Source organism: Homo sapiens, chromosome 6, assembly GCF_000001405.40.
Source record: "Homo sapiens chromosome 6, GRCh38.p14 Primary Assembly".
Lineage (NCBI taxonomy): Eukaryota > Metazoa > Chordata > Mammalia > Primates > Hominidae > Homo > Homo sapiens.
In genome coordinates this window covers 42,852,460-42,877,189 of record NC_000006.12, presented here as the reverse complement: position 1 = coordinate 42,877,189, position 24,730 = coordinate 42,852,460, and the positions used below count along the sequence as shown (strand labels likewise).

General features: G+C 44.7%; 1 protein-coding gene across 10 annotated transcripts in view; it reads right to left on the bottom strand.

The window, feature by feature from the left end:
* The window catches only part of BICRAL (BICRA like chromatin remodeling complex associated protein), a 122,218-nt gene continuing 106,121 nt past the window's right edge, over positions 8,634 to 24,730 (bottom strand). For 9 of the 10 annotated variants that reach the window (XM_047418544.1, XM_047418547.1, XM_047418542.1 and 6 more), the window contains 6 exons: positions 23,452 to 23,552; positions 21,273 to 21,334; positions 19,954 to 20,099; positions 16,834 to 16,928; positions 14,578 to 14,680; positions 8,634 to 12,531 (listed from right to left, as the gene is read on the bottom strand). In XM_047418544.1, the coding sequence (XP_047274500.1) occupies positions 11,744 to 12,531; positions 14,578 to 14,680; positions 16,834 to 16,928; positions 19,954 to 20,099; positions 21,273 to 21,334; positions 23,452 to 23,552 (1,295 nt within the window). In that variant the 3' untranslated portion in view covers positions 8,634 to 11,743. Of the gene's footprint in view, positions 12,532 to 14,577; positions 14,681 to 16,833; positions 16,929 to 19,953; positions 20,100 to 21,272; positions 21,335 to 23,451; positions 23,553 to 24,730 lie in introns of those variants that run through there. The other variant, XR_007059228.1, reaches the window with a different exon arrangement.

Below are 24,730 nucleotides of genomic sequence, written 5' to 3'. Positions count from 1 at the left end.
AAAAAGAAAGGAGCCCCACCTCTTAAACAATTATTCACTAACTGAATATGTGTTTATTGAGCATTGAGCATGTGTCCTAGATTTTTTTTCAAAGTGAGGTTACTGAGGTCAGGTGTGGTGGCTCATGCCTGTAATCCCAGCACTTTGGGAGGCTGAGGCAGGCAGATCGCCCGAGGCCAGAAGTTCAAAACCAGCCTGGCCATCATGGTGAAACCCCATCTCTACTAAAAATACAAAAATTAGCTGGGTGTGGTGGCGCATACCTGTAATCCTAGCTACTTGGGAGGTTGAGGCACGAGAATCGGTGCACTCCAGCCTGGGCGACAGAGTGAGACCTTGTCTCCCCCCACCAAAAAAAAAAAAAAAATTCCAGTCCTCTTGTGAACTTATTTCCTCTTCATCATGTACATTTGGGCAGCTGTTGGGAGGATATCAAATCCAAACGCTTGCCCTCCAATACTTAAACTGAAGGAGTCTTTGGAAGATCTTTTCAATTCTTTTCATCACCCCATTGGGAGTGGGTATGAGATGCTAAATTTCTCTGTGATTTTGAATTTTAAGCAGAGTGATGATGGAACAAAGCACCAGATTTGAGACAAGACTTTTTTTTTTTTCGTTTTTATTTTTATTTTTTTTTTGAGACAAAGTCTTGCTCTGTCGTCCAGGCTGGAGTGCAGTGGTGCAATCTTGGCTCACTGCAACCTCTGCTTCCCAGGTTCAAGCAATTCTCGCGCCTCAGCCTCCCGAGTAGCTAGGATTACAGGCGTGTGCCACCACGCCCGGCTAATTTTTGTATTTTTAGTAGAGATGGGTTTCACCATGTTGGCCAGGCTGCTCTCGAACTCTTGACCTCAAGTGATCTGCCCACCTCGACCTCCCAAAGTGCTGGGATTACAGGTATGAGCCACCGCACCCAGTCAGGGGCAAAACTTTTAACGATTTCCACCTAAGAAAACCTCCTAGAGTTTCTTTGTCTCTGTCCTTCTCAAGCCTCATGGGTTCTTCAATTTTTTAATTCTTATCTTCCTTACAAAATCCCTTTATGTTGGTTAACTAGAATAATTTTCTGTTGTTTACAACCAAATAATCCTGACTGTAACAGTCCCAAACATATGGAATACAGACTAGGGTGTAAAAAAATGGTCCCAGATTGTTTTGGTTTTTTGTGTTTTTTTTTTGAGATGGAGTCTCGCTTTGTCGCCAGGCTGTAGTGCAGTAGCACTATCTCGGCCTACTGCAACCTCTGCCTCCCAGGTTCAAGCAATTCTCCTGACTCAGCCCCCCAAGTAGCTGGGACTACAGGCGCACACCACCATGCCTGCCTAATTTTTGTATTTTTAGTAGAGATGGGGTTTCACCATATTGGCCAGGATGGTCTCAATCTTTTGACCTCGTGATCTGCCTGCCTTGGCCTCCCAAAGTGCTGGGATTACAGGCATGAGCCACCGTGCCCAGTCCCCAGATTGTTTTTCTTTTCTTTTTTCTTTTTTTTTTAGACAGAGTCTCGCTCTGTCGCCCAGGCTGGAGTGCAGTGGCACGATCTCGGCTCACTGCAACCTCCACCTCCTGGGTTCAAGCAATTCTCCTGCCTTAGCCTCCTGAGTAGCTGGGATTACAGGTGCCCGCCACCACGCCTGGGTAATTTTTGTATTTTTAGTAGAGATGGGGTTTCACCATGTTGGCCAGGCTGGTCTCGAAGTCCTGACCTCAGGTGTTCACCTGCCTCGGCCTCCCAAAGTGCTGGGATTACAGGCATGAGCCACCGCGCCCGGCCAGTTATAGGTATATTTGTATGTAACAATTTTGGAAGCATATATGAAAAAGTGCTGACGGTGGTCTTTTTGGGAAATAGTAGTAGAGTCTGGAATCGGAGGAAAACTTCCATTTTATGATACGCCCTTTGTTTACCACATACGTATTAGTTTAAGAAAAAGCTCTGAGCCAGGTTGGTGGCTCACGTCTGTAATCCCAGCACTTTGGGAGGCCCAGTTGGGCGGATCACTTGAGCTCACAAGTTTGAGACCTGCCTGGGCAACATGGTGAAACCACATCTCTTCAAAAAATATAAAAATTAGGCTGGGTGCGGTGGCTCACACCTGTAATCACAGCACTTTGGGAGGCCAAGGCAGGCGGATCACTTGAGACCGGGAATTTGAGACCAGCCTGGGCAACATGACGAAACCCTGTTTCTACTAAAAATACAAAAAATTAGCCGGGCATGGTGGTGCACACCTGTAGTCTCAACTACTTGAGAGACTGAGGTGGAAGGATCATTTTAGCCTGGAGGGTCAAGGCTGTAGTGAGCCCAGATCTTGCCACTGCACTCCAGCCTGGGCAACTGGAGTGAAACCCTGTCTCAATAGATAGATAGGTAGATAAATAGACAGATAGACAGACAGACAGACATGGCTGGGCAAGGTGGCTCACACCTGTAATGCCAGCACTTTGGGAGGCCAAGGCAGGTGGATGACTCGAGGTCAGGAATTCGAGATGAGCCTGGCCAACATGGTGAAACCTCATTATCTGCTAAAAAAAAATACAAAAATTATTTGGGTGTGGTGGTGGGTGCCTGTAATCCCAGCTACTCAGGAGGCTGAGGCAGGAGAATTGCTTGAACCTGGGAGATGGAGGTTGCGGTGAGCCCAGATTGCGCCACTGTGCTTCAGCCTGGGTGACAGAGCGAGACTCCATCTCAGAAAAAAAAAAAAAAAATCTTGGCAGGGCATGGTGGCTCACGCCTATAATCCCAGCACTTTGGGAGGCCGAGGAGGGTGGATCATGAGGTCAGGAGATCGAGACCATCCTGGCTAACACAGTGAAACCCAATCTCTACTAAAAATACAAAAAAATTAGCCAGGCATGGTGGCATGCACCTGTAGTCCCAGCTACTTGGGAGGCTGAGGCAGGAGAATCGCTTGAATCTGGGAGGTGGAGGTTGCAGTCAGCCAAGATTGCACCACTGCACTCCAGCCTGGGCGACAGAGTGAGACTTTGTCTCAAGAAAGAAAAAAAAGGCCGGGTACAGTGGCTCATGCCTGTAATCCCAGCACTTTGGAAGGCCGAGGTGGGCAGATCACAAGGTCAGGAGTTCGAGACCAGCCTGGCCAACATGGTGAAACCGTTTCTACTAAAAATACAAAAGTTAGCTGGGCATGGTGGCACGTGCCTGTAATCCCAGCTACTTGGGAGGCTGAGGCAGGAGAATCGCTTGAACCTGGGGAGGTGGAGGTTGCAGTGAGCTGAGATCACGCCATTGCACTCCAGCCTGGGCAACAGAGTCAAACTCCGTCTCAGAAAAAAAAAAAAGAAAGAAAAAGGAAAAACATCTATATCTATATATAAATTAGATGGGCATGGTGGTGTGTGCCTGTAGTCGTGCTACTTGGGAGGCTGTGATGGGAGGATGGGTTGAGGCTGGGAGGTGGAGGTTACAGTGAACAGAGATCACGCCACTGCACTCCAGCCTGGGTGACAGAGCCAGACCTTGTTTCAGAAAAAAAATAAAAAAAGAAATAAAAAGGAAAAAAAAAAAAAGAAAGCTCTGTAAGTAATTGGATTTTTGTGGTTCTCTCTGAATTGGTTCCAGAATCCCTTTCCTAACACGTCCGTGCATAATTTATTTCAGTATTCTCTGCACTTCTGGATTATTTGGAATCCTACTCTTACTTAAGGCAAAGCTGCCACACCTAACACACCCTAAGAGGAACTCTATCTGCAATTTCCCATCTGCTCCATCCTCTTTCTTGGATTAAGACACTTTTTGCAGTCAGCTTCATTTTGCTTCAAGCTTTGCTTGTAAGTGACAAGGGGTTATCAGGAAGCAAGTAGGAAAGAGATTAGTCTGAGAGCAGTGGATGAACCTGGAGTTGAGGCAGACAATGTGAACAACAGCTTTTGATCCTAATGAAAAACAAACATAAGGTAGCAAAAGTGGGAAGGAAAGGGAGAGAACAGGTGAGGGGCAGCAGCCTTTTGAGGCTTGAGGATAGACAAGAAAGCTGGGGTAGGAAGGTGAAAGTATGTAGCAGGTAAGACTAAAAGCAAAACAGAAAAACCCAAACTTCTGAATTATTTAGGGATAATGGAACATGGCTCGTTTTACTTTTTTTTTTTTTTTTTTTGAGATGGAGTTTTGCTCTTGTTGCCCAGGTTGGAGTGCAATGGTGTGATATTGGCTTACCACAACCTCCGCCTCTGCAGTTCAAGCGATTCTCTTGCCTCAGCCTCCCAAGTAGCTGGGATTACAGGCATGCACCACCACGCCTGGCTAATTTTGTATTTTTAGTAGAGATGGGGTTTCTCCATGTTGGTCAGGCTGGTCTTGAACTCCCAACCTTAGGTGATCCACCTGCCTCGGCCTCCCAAAGTGCTGGGATTACATGTGTGAGCCACTGCGCCTGGTCTCTTTTTTCTTTTTCTTTTTTCATGTTTGAGATGGAGTCTCGCTCTGTCAGCCAGGCTGGAGTGCAGTGGCACAATTTTGGCTCACTACAACCTCCACCTCCCAGGTTCAAGTGGTTCTCCTGCCTTAGCCTCCTGAGTAGCTGGGACTACAGGCATGTGCCATCATGCCTAGATAATTTTTTGTATTTTTAGTAAGATGGGGTTTCGCCATGTTGGCCAGGCTGGTCTTGAACTCCTGACCTCAGGTGGTCTGCCCGCCTCGGCCTCCCAAACTGCTGGGATTACACGCGTGAGCCACTGTGACTGTGCCCGGCCCTGCTCTTTTTACTGTCTACATGTCTTCAGTAACACCCTTTTTTTTTTTTTTTTTTTTGGAGACAGAGTCTTGCTCTGTCACTCAGGCTGGAGTGCAGTGGCACGATCTTGGCTCACTGCAATCTCCACCTCCTGGGTTCAACCAATACTCCAGCCTCAGCCTTCTGATTAGCTGGGATTACAGGTACCCGCCAACATGCCTGGATAATTTTTGTATTTTTTTTTTTTTTAGCAGAGACAAGGTTTCACCTTGTTTGCCAGGCTTGTCTCTAACTCCTGATCTCAGGTGATCAGCCCTCCTCTCAGCCTCCCTAAGTACTGGGATTACAGGTGTGAGCCACTGCACCCGGCCTTAGTAACACATTTTACACCCTAAGAAGTAGAGGGCCAAGACCAGTCTTCTTAGTTTATGGGCAAGGACACGGTGACTGAGAGTTAAGTTGTATGAAGATACATGATTATGTGATAGATGAGATACCAGAACCAATTTCCACATTCTGCTGCCAAAGGCACTTTCTGCCCACCCAGTTGCACTGCTTTCCTTGACCTTCATAGAAGTAATTTTTTTCCCAAGGATCTTCTTGCCTTTGCAATTGGTTTCAAAGGTCAGACTCCAGCACATACCCAAGAGTAATACAGATGAGGGTTTCTTTTTTTTTTTTTTTTGAGACTGAGTCTCACTTTGTTGCCCAGGCTGGAGGCTGGAGTGCAGTTGTGTGGTCTCGGCTCACTGACTGCAACCCCGCCTCCTGGGTTCAAGCAATTCTCTTGTCTCAGCCTCCCGAGTAGCTGGGCCTACAGGTGTACCACGCCTGGCTAATTTTTGTATTTTTAGTAGAGACAGGGTTTCACCATATTGGTCAGGCTGGTCTCAAACTCCGGACCTCAGGTAATCCACCTGCCTCAGCCTTCCAAAGTGCTGGGATTACAGGCGTGAGCCATCACACGCGGCCTGGGTTTCTTATAAAGGTCTTTTACCTGCAGCAGCGTAGACAGGCAATTCATATTACAGAATCCACTTTATACTACATATGTGCTCCTGCTATTTGTGAATACACTGAAACAGATTTCTCCACATAATTAACAATTTAATTACAAAGGTCTTGGTGTGGTAGCTGACGCCTGTAATCTCAGCACTTTGGGAAGTCGAGGCAGGCCGTTCACCTGAGGTCGGGAGTTCGAGACCAACCTGTCCAACATGGAGAAACCCCATCTCTACTACAAATACAAAATTAGCCAGCATGGTGGCAGGCGCCTGTAATTCCAGCTACTCGGGAGGTTGAAGTAGGAGAATCGCTTGAACCTGGGGGTAGAGGTTGCGATGAGTCGAGATTGCGCCATTGCACTGCAGCCTGGGCAACAAGAGGGAAATTTCCCTCCGTCTCAGAAAATAAATAAATAAATAAATAAAGTCTTTTATCTTTGTTACTGCAGAAGGTATATTTTTTTCTCAAGTTTAACTCAGGAAAATACTAAGAACCAGGGCATGGAAATGTAATTTACAGCTCTCTGTGCAATTTATTGTGGCAGTCCAGAAGAATTTTATTTTTTGAGACAAGGTCTTGTTCTGTGACCCAGGCTTGAGTCCAGTGGCATGATCATGGCTCACTGCAGCCTTGAACTGGGCTTAAGCAATCCTCTGGCCTCAGCCTCCTGAGTAGGTGGGCCTACAGGCATATGCCACCATGCCTGGCTAATTTTTAATTTTTTTTGTAGAGATAGGTCTCACTGTGTGTTGCCCAGGCTTGTCTTGAACTCCTGGCCTCAAGCAGTCCTCCTGCCTCAGACTCCCAAAGCGTTGGGCTTACAGGCATGAGCCACATGCCCAGCCCAGAAAAATTATAGCATCCTATTTTCTTCTCTCCTGAACTCCAGTCAGTTCCCAAATGTAATGTATATCTGTGTGTTGCTCCCCCTGTATACTGTGAGCCCTTTGAAAGCAGAAAGCATGCCTGAATTATCTGTATATCCCAATGTCTGGCACAGTGTCTGCCAACAGTCAACTGCTCAAGTAATATTGTTGGTTAATGATCATCATTTTCAGCTGGATACCCAACGGGTCCTCCTCTGTCTTGGAGAGCACACACAAGGCTGCAAGTAGGGCATGACCCTGAACCCCAGGGCCTAGCCCTTTCAGTACAGCACAGCTAGAGCCCTGCCTGAGCAATGCTGTTGCAGTGCCCCCACACTGTAAAGGTTTATTTTCCCTTACCTTTCCCCCAATAATTAACTTGGAACTTTCTCTGCCTCAGGAAGTGCTTAGGGCCCCTTTCCTGGAATGTGTCCTCCCATACACACAGCTGAGGGTTTTAACCATCCTAAGAGAAGATGCCTGTCTTTCCTCCAGGCATGCCCCCAGGGAACAGAGACAGATCCTAACCTAGCAACCAGATGATCCTTCCTTTTTTATTTGAGATGGAGTTTCGCTCTTGTTGCCCAGGATGGAGTGCAATGGCGCGATCTCGGCTCACCACAACCCCCACCTCTCCCTGGGTTCAAGTGATTCTCCTGCCTCAGCCTCCCAAGTAGCTGGGATTACAGGCATGCGCCACCACACCCAGCTAATTTTGTATTTTTAGTAGAGATGGGATTTCTCCATGTTGGTCAGGCTGGTCTCAAACTCCCGACCTCAGGTGATCTGCCTGCCTCGGCCTCCCAAAGTGATGGGATTAGAGGTGTGAGCCAACACACCCGGCTGATCCTTCCTTCTAACTCTTCATTCCTGGGGCACTCCCATTGTAAATGGCCTGAAGAGGGACAAAAATGTCATTCTGGACACACATTTATCCTTAGCAAGAAGAGAAACTTGACATTAGGGTAACACTATACATGACATCAGTGGATAGATCCCTTCATATCATTCTGTTAGTTATTTGAAAATGACTTTCTTTGTTGCCTTTTAATCTTTTTAGAAAATGACTTTCTATTTATGTACTGATTACTGCTGAATCTTGATTTTCTACTGCTCTTAGGGCACAGGGGAGAATCTAATTAAACCATAAATGAGTACAAGTGTAAATTCTAGGCCCTAAAGAACAATTTGTTCCCAGAAATACATTTCACCTCTAGAAGCTTCCCTAACAATTTGGGTGGAAAAACACTTGTGAGGGCAGGAATTCAAAAGGGCCTCATGGGGCTGATTTTACACATAAGGTTATAGAGTTATTTTTTAATACAAAATTTGGTCCAATATGTTGAATCCAAAGAGAAACGTTAATTCTGGAATATCTCTTATGTAAAATCATTTATCACTTAGCTTTTTCCTTGTCCTTGCAGAAACAAAATAAACATAACTGAAGAAAATCTCCTAGGCCGGGCACAGTGGCTCACGCCTGTAATCCCAGCACTTTGGGAGGCCGAGGCAGGTGGATCACAAGGTCAGGAGATCGAGACCATCGTCTCTACTAAAAATACAAAAAATTAGCTAGGCGCAGTGGCGGGCGCCTGTGGTCCCAGCTGCTAGGGAGGCTGAGGCAGGAGAATGGCGTGAACCTGGGAGGTGGAGCTTGCAGTCAGCGGAGATTGTGTGCCACTGCACTCTAGCCTGGGGGACAGAGCAAGACTCCACCTCAAAATAAAATAAAATAAAATAAAATCTCCTGCAGAGTGAGGCTCACTTACCTGACTTTTCACATGACCCCCACTTTTCCTTCCATAGCTAAGGACCTATGTGGCAGGAGTAGGGATGGAGGCCAAAGGTGTACAGGACCAAACCTCCTCACTGACCAGCTTCATTAATTTGTAACTGTTTGGAAAGGCCAATCAATTAAAATCCTATCCCTTCCCTGACTGGGGTAAATTGATTTTGGTATTGGTAAATCTATTAAAATAGAATTCCCATTGAACACTTACCCTTTTCTTCTGGGAAAAGTAGCCATTCCTATTTGCAAAATCAAGACAATCACAGTTGCACATTTTCCCAAATCTTTGGCTGTATTGCAATGGTTGTTTCAATTTGTAATCTCCAACTAAACATTTCCTAACCATGGATTAACAATATAGTTACTGACTGGTTTCTTTTAACAGTATTTATCCAACATAACAAAATAAACTGCAATTTGTTATAGTTTTTTTTTTTTTACAAAACATTTTATAAATATTTTTACAAAATGTATACAAAGCAATTTCAAGTGAGACGTACTATACAAATGAAGGTATTTAAGCAAATAAAGCCCACACCACACTGACAGCGAGTGACGCGTCCTCTTTAAGTAAAGTCAGTCTGTAAGGCCTCCCTAATCTAACAGAATCTACTAAATCCTTCAGAGCTAAAATATTTCTTTTTCATAATTGCCAGATTAAAATTTTGCTTCATCTTCAGGAAGTACTTAAGGACACAGAAAATCAAATGCTTAATAACAAATTCACGCTTTTCCACAACAGAAAAAAAAAAAAAAAAAGAAAATGATTTTTGTTACTGAGTACAAATAGTTCTAAAACTTAACTTTGACGAATGAACCTGAACAACTGAATGTTGGCCATCCGAGGCTGAGCTCTCCTACCCTTCACTAGAGGGGGCTCGACATGCGAGTTATGACCCATGTGCGTAGAACCTAATCACAGGAGTGAAATACATGTCATAATCTTCATTTGTCATTATCTAGAATCCTTCCTCCATAAAAAGTAAACTTACATACAATGACACAAAAATTTACAAGTTTCATTTTGGTAAATTAGGCTCTCCATTTGCTAGACAAGTGTTAGGGCTTAAAAACCCTTTAGGATGGTATATAGAAAAGCTAGGATTGGGACAGCAGGGCAGGATAGGGAAGAAAGAGAGGTGACAAATGTACATGAAGCTTATCTTGTCTCTTGAGAATTCCACTGATTTGCAGTAATTAATGTAACTCACTAGCAGCCCACATGAAGGCTTCCAGGGATAAAGTTCTGCAATGAGAAGAATTTGATTAGGAAGGATCATCTTGCTAGGAATTAGGGGAGCATGAGCCCCAAGGGAAGAAAAGCCTATGAAATCATGGAGTTTAGGGCAGGGTGTTACCCTAGGACTACCCAAACAGAAAGTACCAACTGGCGACACCAACTTATCTAATATGTTACAATACAGGAAAAAGGGGAAATCTGCAACTTGGACATTGGCACAAATAAGGAAAAAATGGTAACCCTAAAATGGGCCAGATTTTCCAATTTGTATTGGCTGGGGCATGTGGCTGGGGTGAAGGTACGTTGCTATTATGAAGACTGGCCATCTCACAGGGTTTTCTGTGTGTAGTGGGACACAGGGGCACCGGGGTATAGGTCTTCTGTTGCTGTGTTTTCTAATTAGAAGCCTTCCTTTCCATCACAGGCCAATCTGGAAAAGAAATGCCCAACATGATGACAATGGGGGTCATCCCCATGTTGGCGACAGCCAGAAGCAGATTCTGGCAACACATTAAAGTGAAGACCAGTGGCTGCACCTCCAGAGCCAGGGAGATAAACAGAATAAATGAGAGAGTATGCACACTAAGAAGGAGAGTGAGTGTGCACACACTGTAACAAAAATGACCTCTGGATCCGAGCAGCTCAGATACATGCACGTGTGTGTATGTGTGGGAGAAGAGTGCATAAAAATACTATCATGTAGCTTTCCCAATGAGAGGAGATAAGTGATGGTTACAATGACATTAAGAATAAAGGTAACAACAGAAATGGGATAACCTGGGGCAGGTATACGAGAAAGGAAAACGGAGAATACTCCCTGACAAGAAATAAAAATAAATAAAGCAGTAAGCCATGCTCACTAATATGAACACAGGCCAAACAGAAACCATGACAGGGCATATCCTTTGGCTCTCAAATGGGAATCCCATGTCTCAGATCTTTCCTTTCAGTGGTGGGCTAGCTGGTTACCTTTGGTTTGTCTGTGTTTTGGTAATGAATTGCTGCCAGGGGTCACTACTGTTCTCAGACAAGAAGCATAAACAAGGCCAGAGTCTCCTTAAAGTTTAAACTGAAAAATTACAACATAATAATTTTCAAATGAAAGTGCTTTTGATGCTTGGTATTTGTTGTGGGAGAGGGTGCAAAGAGAGGTTAAATGAAACAAAATCCAGCAACAAACAAAAACATACATTATATGTTGACTATATCCAATTATAAAATGCAAAACTTGTTTTTTCTCAATAGTTAACATATATATGCTTTTACATATATACATATTAATATTATAACCCTCATGGCTCTATCCCGGCCTCCTCTGTACACTGTGCCTCTTAACTGGTTTCCATTTTCCTTTATTTAGCCTGGTGAAATTATTTCAAATTTTGCTGCTGTAACTAAGAACAGAACATTCCCTAGGTGAAATTCAACATAGATATGCCTAAAAGCATGAGGTTTTGCTCCGGAAGCATCAGAAAAGCACTTGAACCATCAATAGGGAAGCCCTGCAATGCCCTGCGTATGTGCTACTGGCTTTTCCACCAGGGCTGCGGGTCCCTGGCAGCACAGCCAGCAATTTACTGCTCAAAGATGGCTGAGGGGGAAGAACCATGTGGTCTTCCCCTCAACAATAACAACAAAACACACACAAAAAAACTCAAAATAATAATAATAAAAAAACCCAAAACTAAATTTGCAGATGCAGTGGGATATTCTTTAAAAAGTAGCTTCTATCCGTCTCGTTTGATTTTAGTAAGTCTGTTCTTTTCAAATGACTTATGATTGTCAAAATTTTACCAAGGGCCAAGTATACTGTGGTCTCATTGAGTTACAGTGTTTTTAAAAAACAAAACAAATAAACAAAATGCCTATAAGCACTTTCATAACACTTGAAATGAGTGGGGCCTATCAGACTGCTTTCTGCCAAGGATTAATTTTACTAAAGGATCTCCCTGTAATCACGACAAGTATTGCTCTTAAACAAAGAACAGGATTGAGATTAGAAAGAATAACCTGTGATGAAAGATCAAGCAGGCTGGAGACAGGAGACCATTTCCATTTGCTTTTGCCAGGAACGAATGTAACTGGTCCGGGGTGGGGTCTCGGGGTGGGGTCTCGGGGCGGGGTAGGGGGAGGACTGCTGCTATTAACACTCTAGGATACTATTTACAGCTGCTTCTAAAATGGAGTCAGTTTCTACAACACCTTCACTGTGGTCCGGGATGAACTTTTCCAGGCAGTTTTCCTGTGAAGCCATAGGAGAAAAGTTGGGGAAATCTAACTCAACAGAGCCGCTAACCGTGGGGTCACTCTGGGGCTGCCGTCCCGCCTTTTTGAGTTCCAAGATGTTCTTAAATGTGGTTTCCAAGCTCTTTGTCAGCTGGAGATCTGGCTGGGGTTCGCCTGACCCTTTCATGATGTCTGTGTGTAAAACTTCATTCTTTGGAGAATTCCTCAGACTTTTGTCCTGGAAGGAATTGTTACACGTCATCTCCAAGTGCGAATCTGCTAGGATGCTTGACAGTTTGCTCTCAGTACCATGATCCGATCTGGATGAGGTTTTCCGGTGCCCCTCAGGGCCGGGAGAGCACTGACTGGCCTTCAGAGGCTCTCTCCGGCTGGCCTTCTCTTCAGACGTGCTCTGGTACTGCACTAAGCCCACTTTGTCAAATTTCAGTGCTCTGCCAAGGCATTCTGTTTTTTTAGAAATGTTTCCTTCTGCAGAGACCACGATGTGATTAGGCACTAGATGAAACTGGTCATGATTCATGGGTTCCGTCACACCGGTTTTGGCTCGGTCTCTGCCTTGGGCCTTGGCTGGCGGTTGCAGAGAGCTGCTTGCTTTACTGCCATGCTGGTCACTCCGGCCAAACTGTGTCTCATGAGCAGCTTTATCAAGTTTGAAGGAACAACAGAAATCAGCCTGAAAACCCTCTGGAAATGGGAACAAAAAGAACATTAGTGAGTGATTGGGAGAGGACAGACTATACAGCAGAACTTCAGTGGGTCAGGTGCTGAGGGCAAAGCCAGCCCCACTCACAGAATCCATCTGCTTCACATACAGGAACATGCAGAAGCAGGACCCTGATCCTGAGAGGGCATCCTGTAAAGGCAGCCAAGGCTGTGGAGCCCCAGCTTCAAGATGGGGAGCTTAAACCTTTTGAAAAGGTAGATGCTTGATGACAAATGGGAAAATGTGATGGGCAAAAAGCATCACTCAGTCCTGATCTCTAAGTATCATTTTATTTTTTTTGAGATGGAGTCTTGCTCTGTTGCCCAGACTGGAGTGCAGTGGTACGATCTTGGCTCACCGCAAACTTTGCCTCCCGGGTTCAAGCAATTCTCCTGCCTCAGCCTCTCGAGTAGCTGGGATTACAGGCGCCCGCCACCATGCCCATTTAATTGTGGTATTTTTTTTTTTTTTTGAGACGGAGTTTTGCTCTTGTTGCCCAGGCTGGAGTGTAGTGGCGTGATCTCGGCTCACTGCAACCTCTGCCTCCTCGGTTCAAGCGATTCTCCTGCCTTAGCTTCCCGAGTAGCTGGGATTACAGGCATCTGCCACCACAACGGACTAATTTTTTTTGTATTTTTAGTAGAGGCAGGGTTTCGCCATGTTGGTCAGGATGGTCTCGAACTCCTGACCTCAGATGATCCGCCCACCTCGGCCTCCGAAAGTGCTGAGATTACAGGCGTGACCCACCACGCCTGGCCTAATTTTGGTACTTTTAGTAAAGACGGGGTTTCACCATGTTGGTCAGGCTGGTCTTGAACTCCTGACCTCAGGTGATCCACCCGCCTTGGCCTCCCAAAGTGCTGGGGTTACAGGTGTGAGCACCTCACCCAGCCTCTAAGTATTATTTTAAATTAGTTTTCAGCTAATGACCTCCTTGAAACAGTCTGAAAACAGAAATTAGTTCCTGGTGTCAGCCTGGTTTCTTCCTTAGAGCAGAAGGGCCTGGAATGGGGCTTTGCAGGGAAGGGTGATAGACACCAGGAAACAGAAAACCTATCTGTCTTACATACTTTCCGGGTGAAGATAGCTACTTGTCTTTGGGTGAAAGCACTTCAATCCCTTTAGACACACAGGAGAAACCTGGCATCACTTTCCCAAGACCACAAAATGAATAGCCAACACTCATCCAAAATGATATGGAAGGACAATGGGTATGTAGGAGCTGCGTCTGTGAGTGAGCACTGAACTGCACCAGGCTTGAGGAGGCAGAGGATGGCAAAAGAAATGTCCGTGGCTGGGCACGGTGGCTCACGCCTGTAATCCCAGCACTTTGGGAGGCCAAGGCAGGCGGATCATGAGGTCAGGAGATGGAGACCATCCTGGCTAACACGGTGAAACCCCGTCTCTACTAAAAATACAAAAAATTAACCAGGTGTGGTTGCAGGCGCCTGTAGTCCCAGCTACTTGGGAGGCTGAGGCAGGAGAATGGCGTGAACTCGGGAGGTAGAGCTTGCAGTGAGCCAAGATCCGCCACTGAACTCCAGCCTGGGCGACAGAGCGATACTCCGTCTCAAAAAAAAAAAAAAAAAAGAAATGTCCATGAGGATTTAGAACATTGAGGGTACAGATGGAGGCAGGCAGACTGCTGTTACACAAGAGTGGAAAAAGTGTTAATGCTGGAAATAATCGAAGTGAAATAGAGCTTTGATGACATCTACAAAACAACGAAGAGTATGTATGTATAGTGTGAACATGAATTTGTTCACCAAATTCTAAAATGTGAGTTCTAGGGAATATAGCCTTGAAATCTAAAAAGATGATTCCATCCAACAAACATTGGCTGTGCAGGCCAAAGAGGAGAAGGAAGTAGATGGGATTACAGGTGTGAGCCACCGTGCCCAGCTCTCCCCAGAATTCACGTTCTACCTTCAAGTTTCTTACCCAAAGTTCAGACAGACTGCCAAAGGCCCCATGGTCCCTGAACCATGGCAGGAGCTATCCACTACTTTCACTGCGATGTTTCTTACCAGGGTCTACAAGTGCCAAACGCTTGTCTCGGGACAGGGAAGCTCTTTCCTCCTGGTTGAACATCCTATCGATCATCACCATCTCAGCAGAGGGATTGATTCGCTGAAAAAGAGAGAGGCCAGTCATTTCATAGACAATTTTTAAAAAATGGTTGCTTTTGGAAAAAATAATTTACACATTGGTACAAAATTCAAAAGATACTACAGGGCATGTGAAAAGTGAGCCTCCTTTCTTTGCCTCTCCCTGGTGTGCACCCACTATCACCCAGTGCCTCTCCCTGGAGGCATCTGCCTGCCTAGTAGTTTTCAGTACTCTTCTGGAGATATTTCTGACACACATAAGAATATATATGTACTATAAATATATTTATATATAAAGAAATATACTTCTTTATTTTGTACCCAAATAGTAGCAACTATATATACTGTTCTGTATTTTTTTCTCCTCTACTTAATAATGTATCTTAGAAATCTTTTTGAACTCTTGACCTCAGGTGATCCATCCGCCTTGGCCTCCTCAAGTGCTGGGATTACAGGCATGAGCCTCCGCACCTGCCTGAGAACAATTATTACAGACTTTGGTGGCATTATTTTTTATTGTATTTATTTATTTTTAGACAGAGTCTCGCTCTGTCGCCCAGCCTGGAGTGCAGTGGCACAATCTTGGCTCTCTGCAACCTTCACCTCCCAGATTCAAGCAATTCTCCTGTCTCAGCCTCTGGAGTAGATGGCATTACAGGCACGCACCACCACACCCAGACAATTTTTTTATTTTTACAAGAGACAGGGTTTTGCCATGTTGGCCAGGCTGGTCTCAAACTCCTGACCTCAGGTGATCCACCCACCTCGGCCTCCCAAAGTGCTGGGATTACAGGCGTGAGCCACTGTGCCTGGCCTGGTGGCATAATTTTAAGTAAATATAGATATATTTAAGTAAATACAGACACACGGATACACATTTACTCTATGTTGTATATGTGTATAATATAGCTCAACCAATCTCCCAAGGTACATTTTCAAAGTTGATATCAAATTGAAAATGAGTTATAAGAGACCAATTGATAGGTTAAAGCCTATATGATTTTAGAACTGCTTCTCAAATCTCAGGTTCGGTCTTTCTATCATTTTCTGAGGTATCTTATTCTCACTCCTTTCTCTATTTAACTGGCACTTCAAATGAATTGCAGTTTCTATCTGGGATGATCAAAATGTTCTGCAATTAGACAGTGGTGATGACAATATGACCTTGTAAATGTATTAAAAACCATCAAGTTGTACACTTCATTTATTTATTTATTTTTGAGACGGAGTCTCACTCTGTCACCCAGGCTGGAGTACAGTGGTGCGATCTCGGCTCACTGCAACTCTGAACACTGAAATGTTTGTATTTTAGTAGAGACGAGTTTCACCATGTTGGCCAGGCTGGTCTCAAACTCCTGACCTCAGGTGATCCATTATTTTTCATTATTATTATTATTATTTTATTGAGACAGAGTTTCGCTCTTGTTGCCCAGACTGGAGTGCAATGGCATGATCTTGGCTAACTGCAACCTCTGCCTTCCAGCTTCAAGTGATTCTTCCGCCTCAGCCTCCCGAGTAGCTGGGATTACAGGCATGCGCCACCACGCCTAGCTCTTTTTGTATTTTTAGTAGAGAAGGGGTTTCTCCATGTTGGTCAGGCTGGTCTTGAACTCCCGACCTCAGGTGATCCACCCGCCTTGGCCTCCCAAAGTGCTGGGATTACAGGCATAAGCCACCATGCCTGGCCTCAGTTGTACACTTTAAATGTAAATTTTATGGAATGTCAATGATCTCTCAAAAACAAAACTAATTTTGACATTTGTCACCAGCTTATCTGTTCAGATGTGCCTCCAGTCCTTCTCCCACATCTCTGGGTTGGTGAAAGGCGGTAGATGGCATCAGAGTGTGGACCAGGGGTCAGATGATCCTGGCTCGTATCCGAGCTCTGCTAATTACTCTGCAAACTTCTTAGCCATCTGTTCTCGAGCAAGTTACTTAACCAAAGCCCTGGTTTCCTTATCCGTTAAACAAGAGAATAGTACTGACCCACCAAGTAAAGTACAGCAAATGTTCACTGCTGTTTTTGTAGTAGCAGCTAAGCGTAAGTTTTTCTACAGTGTGAAATATCTGTTACTTTTACATTATATTCTATAATTCCTTGACCTTTCTGTCTCTGATTTAGTGGCTGTGACCTGTAAAGTTTTAAAGAACAAATATCAGTAGCATGACTTTTACCATGGCATCTTCTAGGAGCAGGCATCTGTATTTGTTAAGCATAGCTTGGGTCCTTTTTAGGAGCTGAGTGGCAACTGTCTCAAATTCATTGTCCACTTTAAAAAGAGAGAGACAAAGAAATAGTGAGAGACTGTAAATCACTGACTAGGTCTTCTGTTTCTTAAGACTGAAATACATTACTCTTCTGTTATTCAAACATGGCTTATCTGGGGCAATTTTCTCTTCTTAGATGAGCTTTTCCCCGGCTAAGCATCATCCTTCTACACTGCATTCCCTCACTGTCCACTGGTCATGGAAACTCATTTTATTACTAACTCTTTTAACTTTAACTAGGAAACCAAAAACATAATTACTTTGATATCACCTATAAAATAAAACCATATAACAGACTCGCAATAAATATCAATGAGTAGGCCGGGCACGGTGGCTCATGCCTGTAATCCCAGCACTTTGGGAGGCCGAGGTGGGCGGATCACGAGGTCAGGAGATGGAGACCATCCTGGCTAACATGGTGAAACCCCATCTCTACTAAAAATACAAAAAAAAAATTAGCTGGGCGTGGTGGCGGGCACCTCTAGTCCCAGCTACTCGAGAGGCTGAGGCAGGAGAATGGCGTGAACCCAGAAGGCGGAGCTTGCAGTGAGCCAAGATCGTGCCACTGCACTCCAGCCTGGGCAACAGAATGAGACTCTGTCTCAAAAAAAAATATATATATATCAATGAGTAGAGAATGATCTGCTAGTTTAGATGACCTAAGCCTAATGGTATGAAAAACTAAAATAGCTGAAACAATGAAGTCCAACTGTCTGGACTAGGTAAACCAGTTTAATGTAAAGACACAGCTTTACATTAAACTGTCATGGTCATGTGGCTCTGTCCTCTGTCTGTTGGTCTCCAAGGATTTGAACACCTTCTAATTCATTCTTCTTCTCAGTCTTCACACCCACTGTGGGTTTTTTTTTTTTGAGACAGAGTCTTGCTCTGTCGCTCAGGCTGGAGTGCAGTGGCGCAATCTCAGCTCACTGCAACCTTCTCCTCCCGGGTTCAAGTGAGTCTCCTGCCTCAGCCTCCCGAGTAGCTGGGACTACAGGTGTGCACCACCATGCCCTTGCTAATTTTTTTGTATTTTTAGTAGAGATGGGGTTTCACCATGTTGGCCAGGATGGTCTCGAACTCCTGACCTCATGATCTGCCCACCTCGGCCTTCCAAAATGCTGGGCTTATAGGCGTGAAGAACCATGCCCAGCCCTTTCACACCCCCTGTTTAACGCTGGATCTTGACCCTATTCCTTGGTGTCCTAGGGAAGCCCACAGTGGACTCACAGAAACCACTGTGCCCTGAGATTAGAGGTCCCTGCCAGGAGGAGTAAGACTTGTAGCAGCTGAGGAAGGGATTAGAAAAGAGGAGGGCACTGATACAGCCAGGCCTTAGCGGTGGTGGTGGGAAAGAGCATGGCCAGGCATCAGGACAGAAGGAGTTCTAGGTTTGGGGAAGGGGCTCTTATCTCTAAATTATTATTTATTTATTTATTTATTTTTTAGATGGAGTTTCGCTCTTGTTGCCCAGGCTGGAGTGCAATGGCACGATCTCGGCTCATGGGAACCTCTGCCTCCCGGGTTCAAGTGATTCTCCTGCCTCAGCCTCCCGAGTAGCTGGAATTACAGGCATGTGCCACCACGCCTGGCTAATTTTGTATTTTTAGTAGACACAGGGTTTCTCCATGTTGGTCAGGCTGGTCTCGAACTCCTGACCTCAGGTGACCCACCCACCTCAGCTTCCCAAAGTGCTGGGATTACAGGTGTGAGACACTGCGCCCAGCCTTTTTTTTTTTTTTTTTTTTAAAACAGAGTCTTGCTCTGTTATCCAGGCTGGAGTGCAGTGGTGCGATGTCCGCTCACTGCAACCTCTGCCTTCCAGGTTCAAACGATTCTCCTGCCTCAGCCTCCCAAGTAGCTGGGACTGAAGGCGTGTGCCACCACGCCCAGCTAATTTTTGTATTTTTAGTAGAGACGGGGTTTCACCATGTTGGCCAGGCTGGTCTTGAACTCCTGACCTCAGGTGATCGGCCTGCCTCAGCCTCCCAAAGTGCTGGGATTACAGACGTGAGCCACTGTGCTCAGCCTTTATCTCTCACATTTTTGTCAGTTTCTTGATGTGTGGCCAATGCTCTGGACTCATTTTGGAATCTTAGGGAATGCTTTTGGGAGCTCAAGTGCCTAATTCATAAAACTATTAGAAACAGTTTGGCCAGGAGTGGTGGCTCATGCCTATAATCCCAGCACTTCCGGAGGCTGAGGCGGGCCAATCACCTGAGGTCAGGAGTTCAAGACCAGCCTGGCCAACATGGTGAAACCCCATCTCTACTAAAAAAATACAAAAATTAGCCAGCCGTGGTGGTGGGCGCCTATAATCTCAGCCACTGGGGAGGCTGAGGCAGGGAGAGTCACTTGAACCTGGGAGGCAGAGGTTGCAGTGAGTTGATCGTGCCACTGCACTCCAACCTGGGTGACAGAGCGAGACTCCATCTCAAAAAAAAAAAAAAAAAAAAAAAAATTCAGGGTATGCATATGGCCTAAAGGCAAGGACTATGCAAAACCACTGTGTAGAGTGTCTAGTGCAAAGCCATCCCATCTGGAGCCGGCAGTCCATACAAAGCTTTGGATTTACTGTCCCTAATTTGTCAATAAAATACTCTGACATTAGGGTACCCTCCTAAAAAATATATATATATATATATATATTTTTTTTTTTTTTTAAGAGACAGTGTCTCCCTATGTTGCCCAGGCAGGAGTGCAATGGCTATTTACAGGCGTGATCATAGCACACTATAGTCTCAAACTCCTGGGCTCACATGATCTTCTTGCTTTAGCCTTCTGAGTAGCTGGGACTACAGGTGTGTGCCCCTACTCTTGACTTCCCTTCAAAAAATACTGAGAAGTGTAAGTCACAACCTTAAACATGGACTGGGAAATTGAGTAAACAGGGAACAAGTTTGGTCTGTGATTAAAAACAATAACCTGCCTACCATCTGGGGGTGATGTGGCTCTTGCTTTTCTGGGGGGTGTCCATGGAGGGTTTCCTGGTATCAGAGTGGTGCCTTAGGGTCCCAGCCTGCTTACCTTTTCTCAAGTCTTCTTCAGTGGGCATGGAGCCCTGGCACACGTGGTAGGAGAGCAGTCTCTGTACCGCATCACTTAGTGATCGGAAGTGACTTTTGTCTGGTGTCACAGTGTGGGCTTGGTCCCTCTGCAACTGCTGGAGAATGCTTTACAAGGGAAATGGTCAATGTCAATGTAAAGTCATGTTAGGAAATTAAATCTAGTCATATTTATTTGCATGCAAATAAAATAAGATATATAGGAATAATACGGCAGTTTTTTAGTTTTATATTTTTTATACCATAGTGGGTTTATAACTTAGTTTAACTAGCCCCACAGAGGACTCAAACTATGACCCTGACCTCAAAAGCACAGGTTCCCACCAATCATTTATGTGTTGGCACCCCTATAAACCTTGGCAGTGCCTGACCATTGGCCAACTAAGTTCATGCTAACATTTCTGTTCTAAACATGGGAGTTTACCAAACCACGCTTTTCCTCAGAGATTCTTTGTCTCTGAAAAGACAAAGAACTATTCTCCTTAAGAAGAAAAGAGCAAACAGTAGGCTGAAACTACATTCAATATATTTGAAATGTATACACTACCTGTAATCCTAGCACTTTGGGAGGCTGAGGTGGGTGGATCACCTGAGGTCAGGAGTTCAAGACCAGCCTGGCCAACATGGTGAAACTCTGTCTCTACAAAAATACAAAAATTAGCCAGGCGTGATGGCGGGTGCCTATAATCCCAGCTATTCCAGAGGCTGAGGTGGGAGAATCACTTGAGCCCAGAAGGCGGAGGCTGTAGTGAGCCGAGATCGTCCCACTGCACTCCAGCCTGGACGACAGAGCAAGACTCTGTCTCAAAAAAAAAAAAAAAAAAAAAAAAAAGGAAAAGAAAGTATAGAAAAAGATTTTCAAAGTATATATGTATATATTTTGAGACAGGGTCTTGCTCTGTCACCCAGGCTGGAGTGCAGTGGCGCAATCTCCAATTCACTGCAAGCTCCACCTCAGAACTCAAGCTATCCTCCCACCTCAGCCTCCCAAGTAGCTGGGACTACAGGCCCGTACCACCACGCCTGGCTAATTTTTGTATTTTTTGCAGAGCCATGTTGCCCAGGCTGGTCTCAAACTCCTGGGCTCAAGTGATCCTCCTGCCTTAAGACTCCCAAAGTGCTGAGATTACAGGAGTGAGTCACCATGCCTTGCCTCAAAGTACATTTTTAAAAAGGCTAATATACTCATTATTATAACCTGTTTTCTGTGGTATATTTATTGAAGGCTAGGGACCCAAAGAAGTGTTCAGAATTGATTTGTCATTTCCGAGAGTAACTCACAAAGCTCCTTTCGTTAGCTGTTTCGCAGCAGGCCTTTTTTGTCCTCCCGAATGACTCTCCACCTAAAGACAAAACAAACCTCTTATTATTCCCTTTTATAGAAAAAAGAATACAGTTATACATAAAGGTCACTATAGTTCACATATTTTCAACTACCTATCAAGAACATATTCTAAGACTACAGAATGTGCCCTGCTGAAAAATAAAAAAAAAAAAACCAGTACACAGAGTCCATGAAACAAAGTTGTACTGTGTTAAGATTACAGAAAGGTGTATAATCGGTTCCTGAGAGGGACTCAGTTTGCACTTTAAAGCCTGAATGCCTACCTCCTCTCTAAATGCACCATCATCATCATCATCATCATCATCATGTTTTTTGACAGGGTCGTGCTCTGTCGTCCAGGCTGGAGTGTGGTGGTACAATCTCGGCTCACTGCAACCTCTGCTTCCCAGGCTCAAGTGATCCTCCCACCTCAGCCTCCCAGGTAGCTGGGACTACAGGTATGCACCACCACGCCTGTTAATTTTTTGGTATTTTTTGTAGAGACGGAGTTTTGCCATATTTTCCAGGCTTGTCTCGAACTCCTGGACTCAAGCCATCCGCCTGCCTTGGCCTCCCAAAGTGTTGGGATTACAGGTGTGAGCCACAGCACTGACCCATCGTTATATTTTTGAAATTCCACAGACATCTGAAAAGTCAGTAGATACTATCTAATCCATCTTCTCAGTGTAAGTATGGGATACACACTTTTAAGCTCCTGTTATATATAGTCCAGGTGTGTGATCTAACGAGGCATTTTTTACATCATGTTAAGGAAACAAATAGGCCTTATCTCAGAACCTTAGAACTGAACAGATCCTTCACTGTGTATTCCAGGCAGTCCCACACTGCAGCAAGTTTCATTCAACCACTAATTGGTAGGTCTGATGGAAACGAAACTGTCTTAGTAAGCTGAAAACAAGAAATGTTTCCTTCCATTTTAGACTAGTAGTTTGAAATCTTTTAGGTTTAAAAGCCAAACTTGAAGTTATCAAATGTGCCCTGAAAATATGTACATCTATCATGTATCAAAAAAACAAACAAACAAAAAAAACTAGGCCAGGAGTGGTTGCTTAAGCCTGTAATTCTAGCACTTTGGTAGGCTGAGGTGGGAGAATTGCTTGAGCCCAGGAGTTTCAGACCAGCCTGGCCAACATGGCAAAACGTTTTCTCTTAAAAAAAATATAAAAATATTAGCCAGGCGTGGTGGTGCGTGCCTGTAGTCCCAGCTACTCAGGAAGCTGAGGTGGGAGGATCGCATGAGCCCAGGTGATCGAGGCTTCAGTGAGCTGTGATCACACCACTGCAGCACAGTCTGAGTGACAGGGTGAGACCCCAACTCAAAACAAAACAAAAACAAAAACAAAAACAAAACAAAAAACCCAGCTGGACTAGACAGGGCACAGTGGCTCACACCTGTAATCCAGGTACTTTGGGAGGCTGAGGTGGGTGGATGGCTTGGGCCCAGGAGTTTGAGACAGGTGTGAGCAACATGGCAAAATCCTATCTCTACAAAAAATACAAAAAAACAGCTGGGCATTGTCCTAGCTACCCAGAAGGCTGAGGCAGGAGGGTCACCTGAGCCTGGGAGGTCAAGGCTGCAGTAAGCTGTGATTGCACTACTGCATGCCAGCCTGGGTGACAGAGTGAGACCCTGTCTCAAACAAAAACCAAAAAGTTGGACTTTAAAAAGTGTCAAAGTTGGGTCAAAAGACCGTAGGGATGGCCTACTTCCTATACGCCTGGTTACTACTACAGAAAAACAAAAATCCCTCAGTATAACTAAGAAGAAGAGATTCGCTTTGATATAATAGTGAACGATATCACCTAGTAGTAAATGACATTTTTTGAGTGCCTAGTATGTACTAGCTGCTGGTATATTACTAATTCATGAGGAAATGATGGATTAATGAAGCACTGTAAACATGTCAGAAATAGAATAGACATTCATCTCAGAAACATAAACATAACAAGGCCCAGCCCACCAGGAAGGTCTTCAATGACCACCCTGTTGTGGGCACACAGGGGACTGGGTGGACTGTGCACACAAAGCTAGCCAGCAACCACAAAGATAGCACGACTACATTTTCATTCAATTATGCCGAACATTAGGAAGAGGCTATGCCAATAGTTTTCTACCTGCACAGCTGGATGGCCAGGAGATGATCCAACTACTTTTTCCTGCTGTGGTTGTGCGGTTCCTAAGGATGCGGATATAACTTTGCTTCCAGAATCCTGCCCTATTAGAATTAATACATGAGACAGTGTTCAAAAGAAACAGTAAATTGGGTCCATCATATAACCCTAGAACCCAATGGGTACAGACTGTTGAGCATTCTGAAACGGGTTTCTTTATCATGGCTGCTTGCTGTGAAGAAGGAGGGCAGGGTAGTGCATTTACTTACAAGCTCTAAAGGAAGAGGTTATTAAAGCCTATTTAAGTAATAAATAAGTAAATAGTAATAAATAGAAGCTCCAAATGCTATAGTTTCAAATTATTTATAGTCTGAAAAACAGGCCTCAAGCCAGTAATCTGTCAGCACTACAGAATCCCAAAATACAATTTAAGGAAAGGGAGGCCCAAAGAGGCAATTGACTGGGAATATTCAAGCTTTTTCTCTTTCTTGCCTTTTTTTTTTTAAGTACTAATTGGGTACTGCAGATGTTCAAAGCCTTAGAAAAAACGGAAGACATAGTCCATAATATTTTCAGTCTGGGTGGAGAATTCCAAACATGCATGTAGAGAGCAACATGGGGATAATTTCAAAGTCACAAGTACTGTAAAATACCTTTTCTTTTTTTTTTTTTTTTTTGAGACAAGGTCTTGTTCTGTCGCCCAGGCTGGAGTGCAGTGGCGCAATCATAGCTCACTGCAGCCTCGACCTCCCAGGCTCAGGTGATCCTCCTGCCTCAGCCTCCTGGGTAGCTAGGACAATGCCCAGCTAGTACAGACAGGGTTTCACCATGTTGGCCAGGCTGGTCTTGATCTCCTGACCTCATGATCTGCCCGCCTCGGCCTCCCAAAGTGCTGGGATTACAGGTGTGAGCCACCGTGCCCGGCCTCAATTTATTGTTTCTAAGAAGTATTTTTTTTCCACATAATTTAATGTGTCATAATTTAGATAGAAGTGCTTGTTTTTCTTTTTGGTAGTATAAAAAATGATAGTACATCTTACAATTGATGCTATCTTAGTGGGGTTTTTTTTTTTTTTTTTTGAGACAGAGTCTCGCCCTGTCACCCAGACTGGAATGCAGTGGTGTGATCTCAGCTCACTGCAAGCTCTGCCTCCCGGGTTCAAGCGATTCTCCTGCCTCAGCCTCCTGAGTAGCTGGGATTACGGGCGTGTGCCACCATGCCTGGCTAATTTTTGTATTTTTAGTAGAGATGGGGTTTCATCATGTTGGTCGGGCTGGTCTT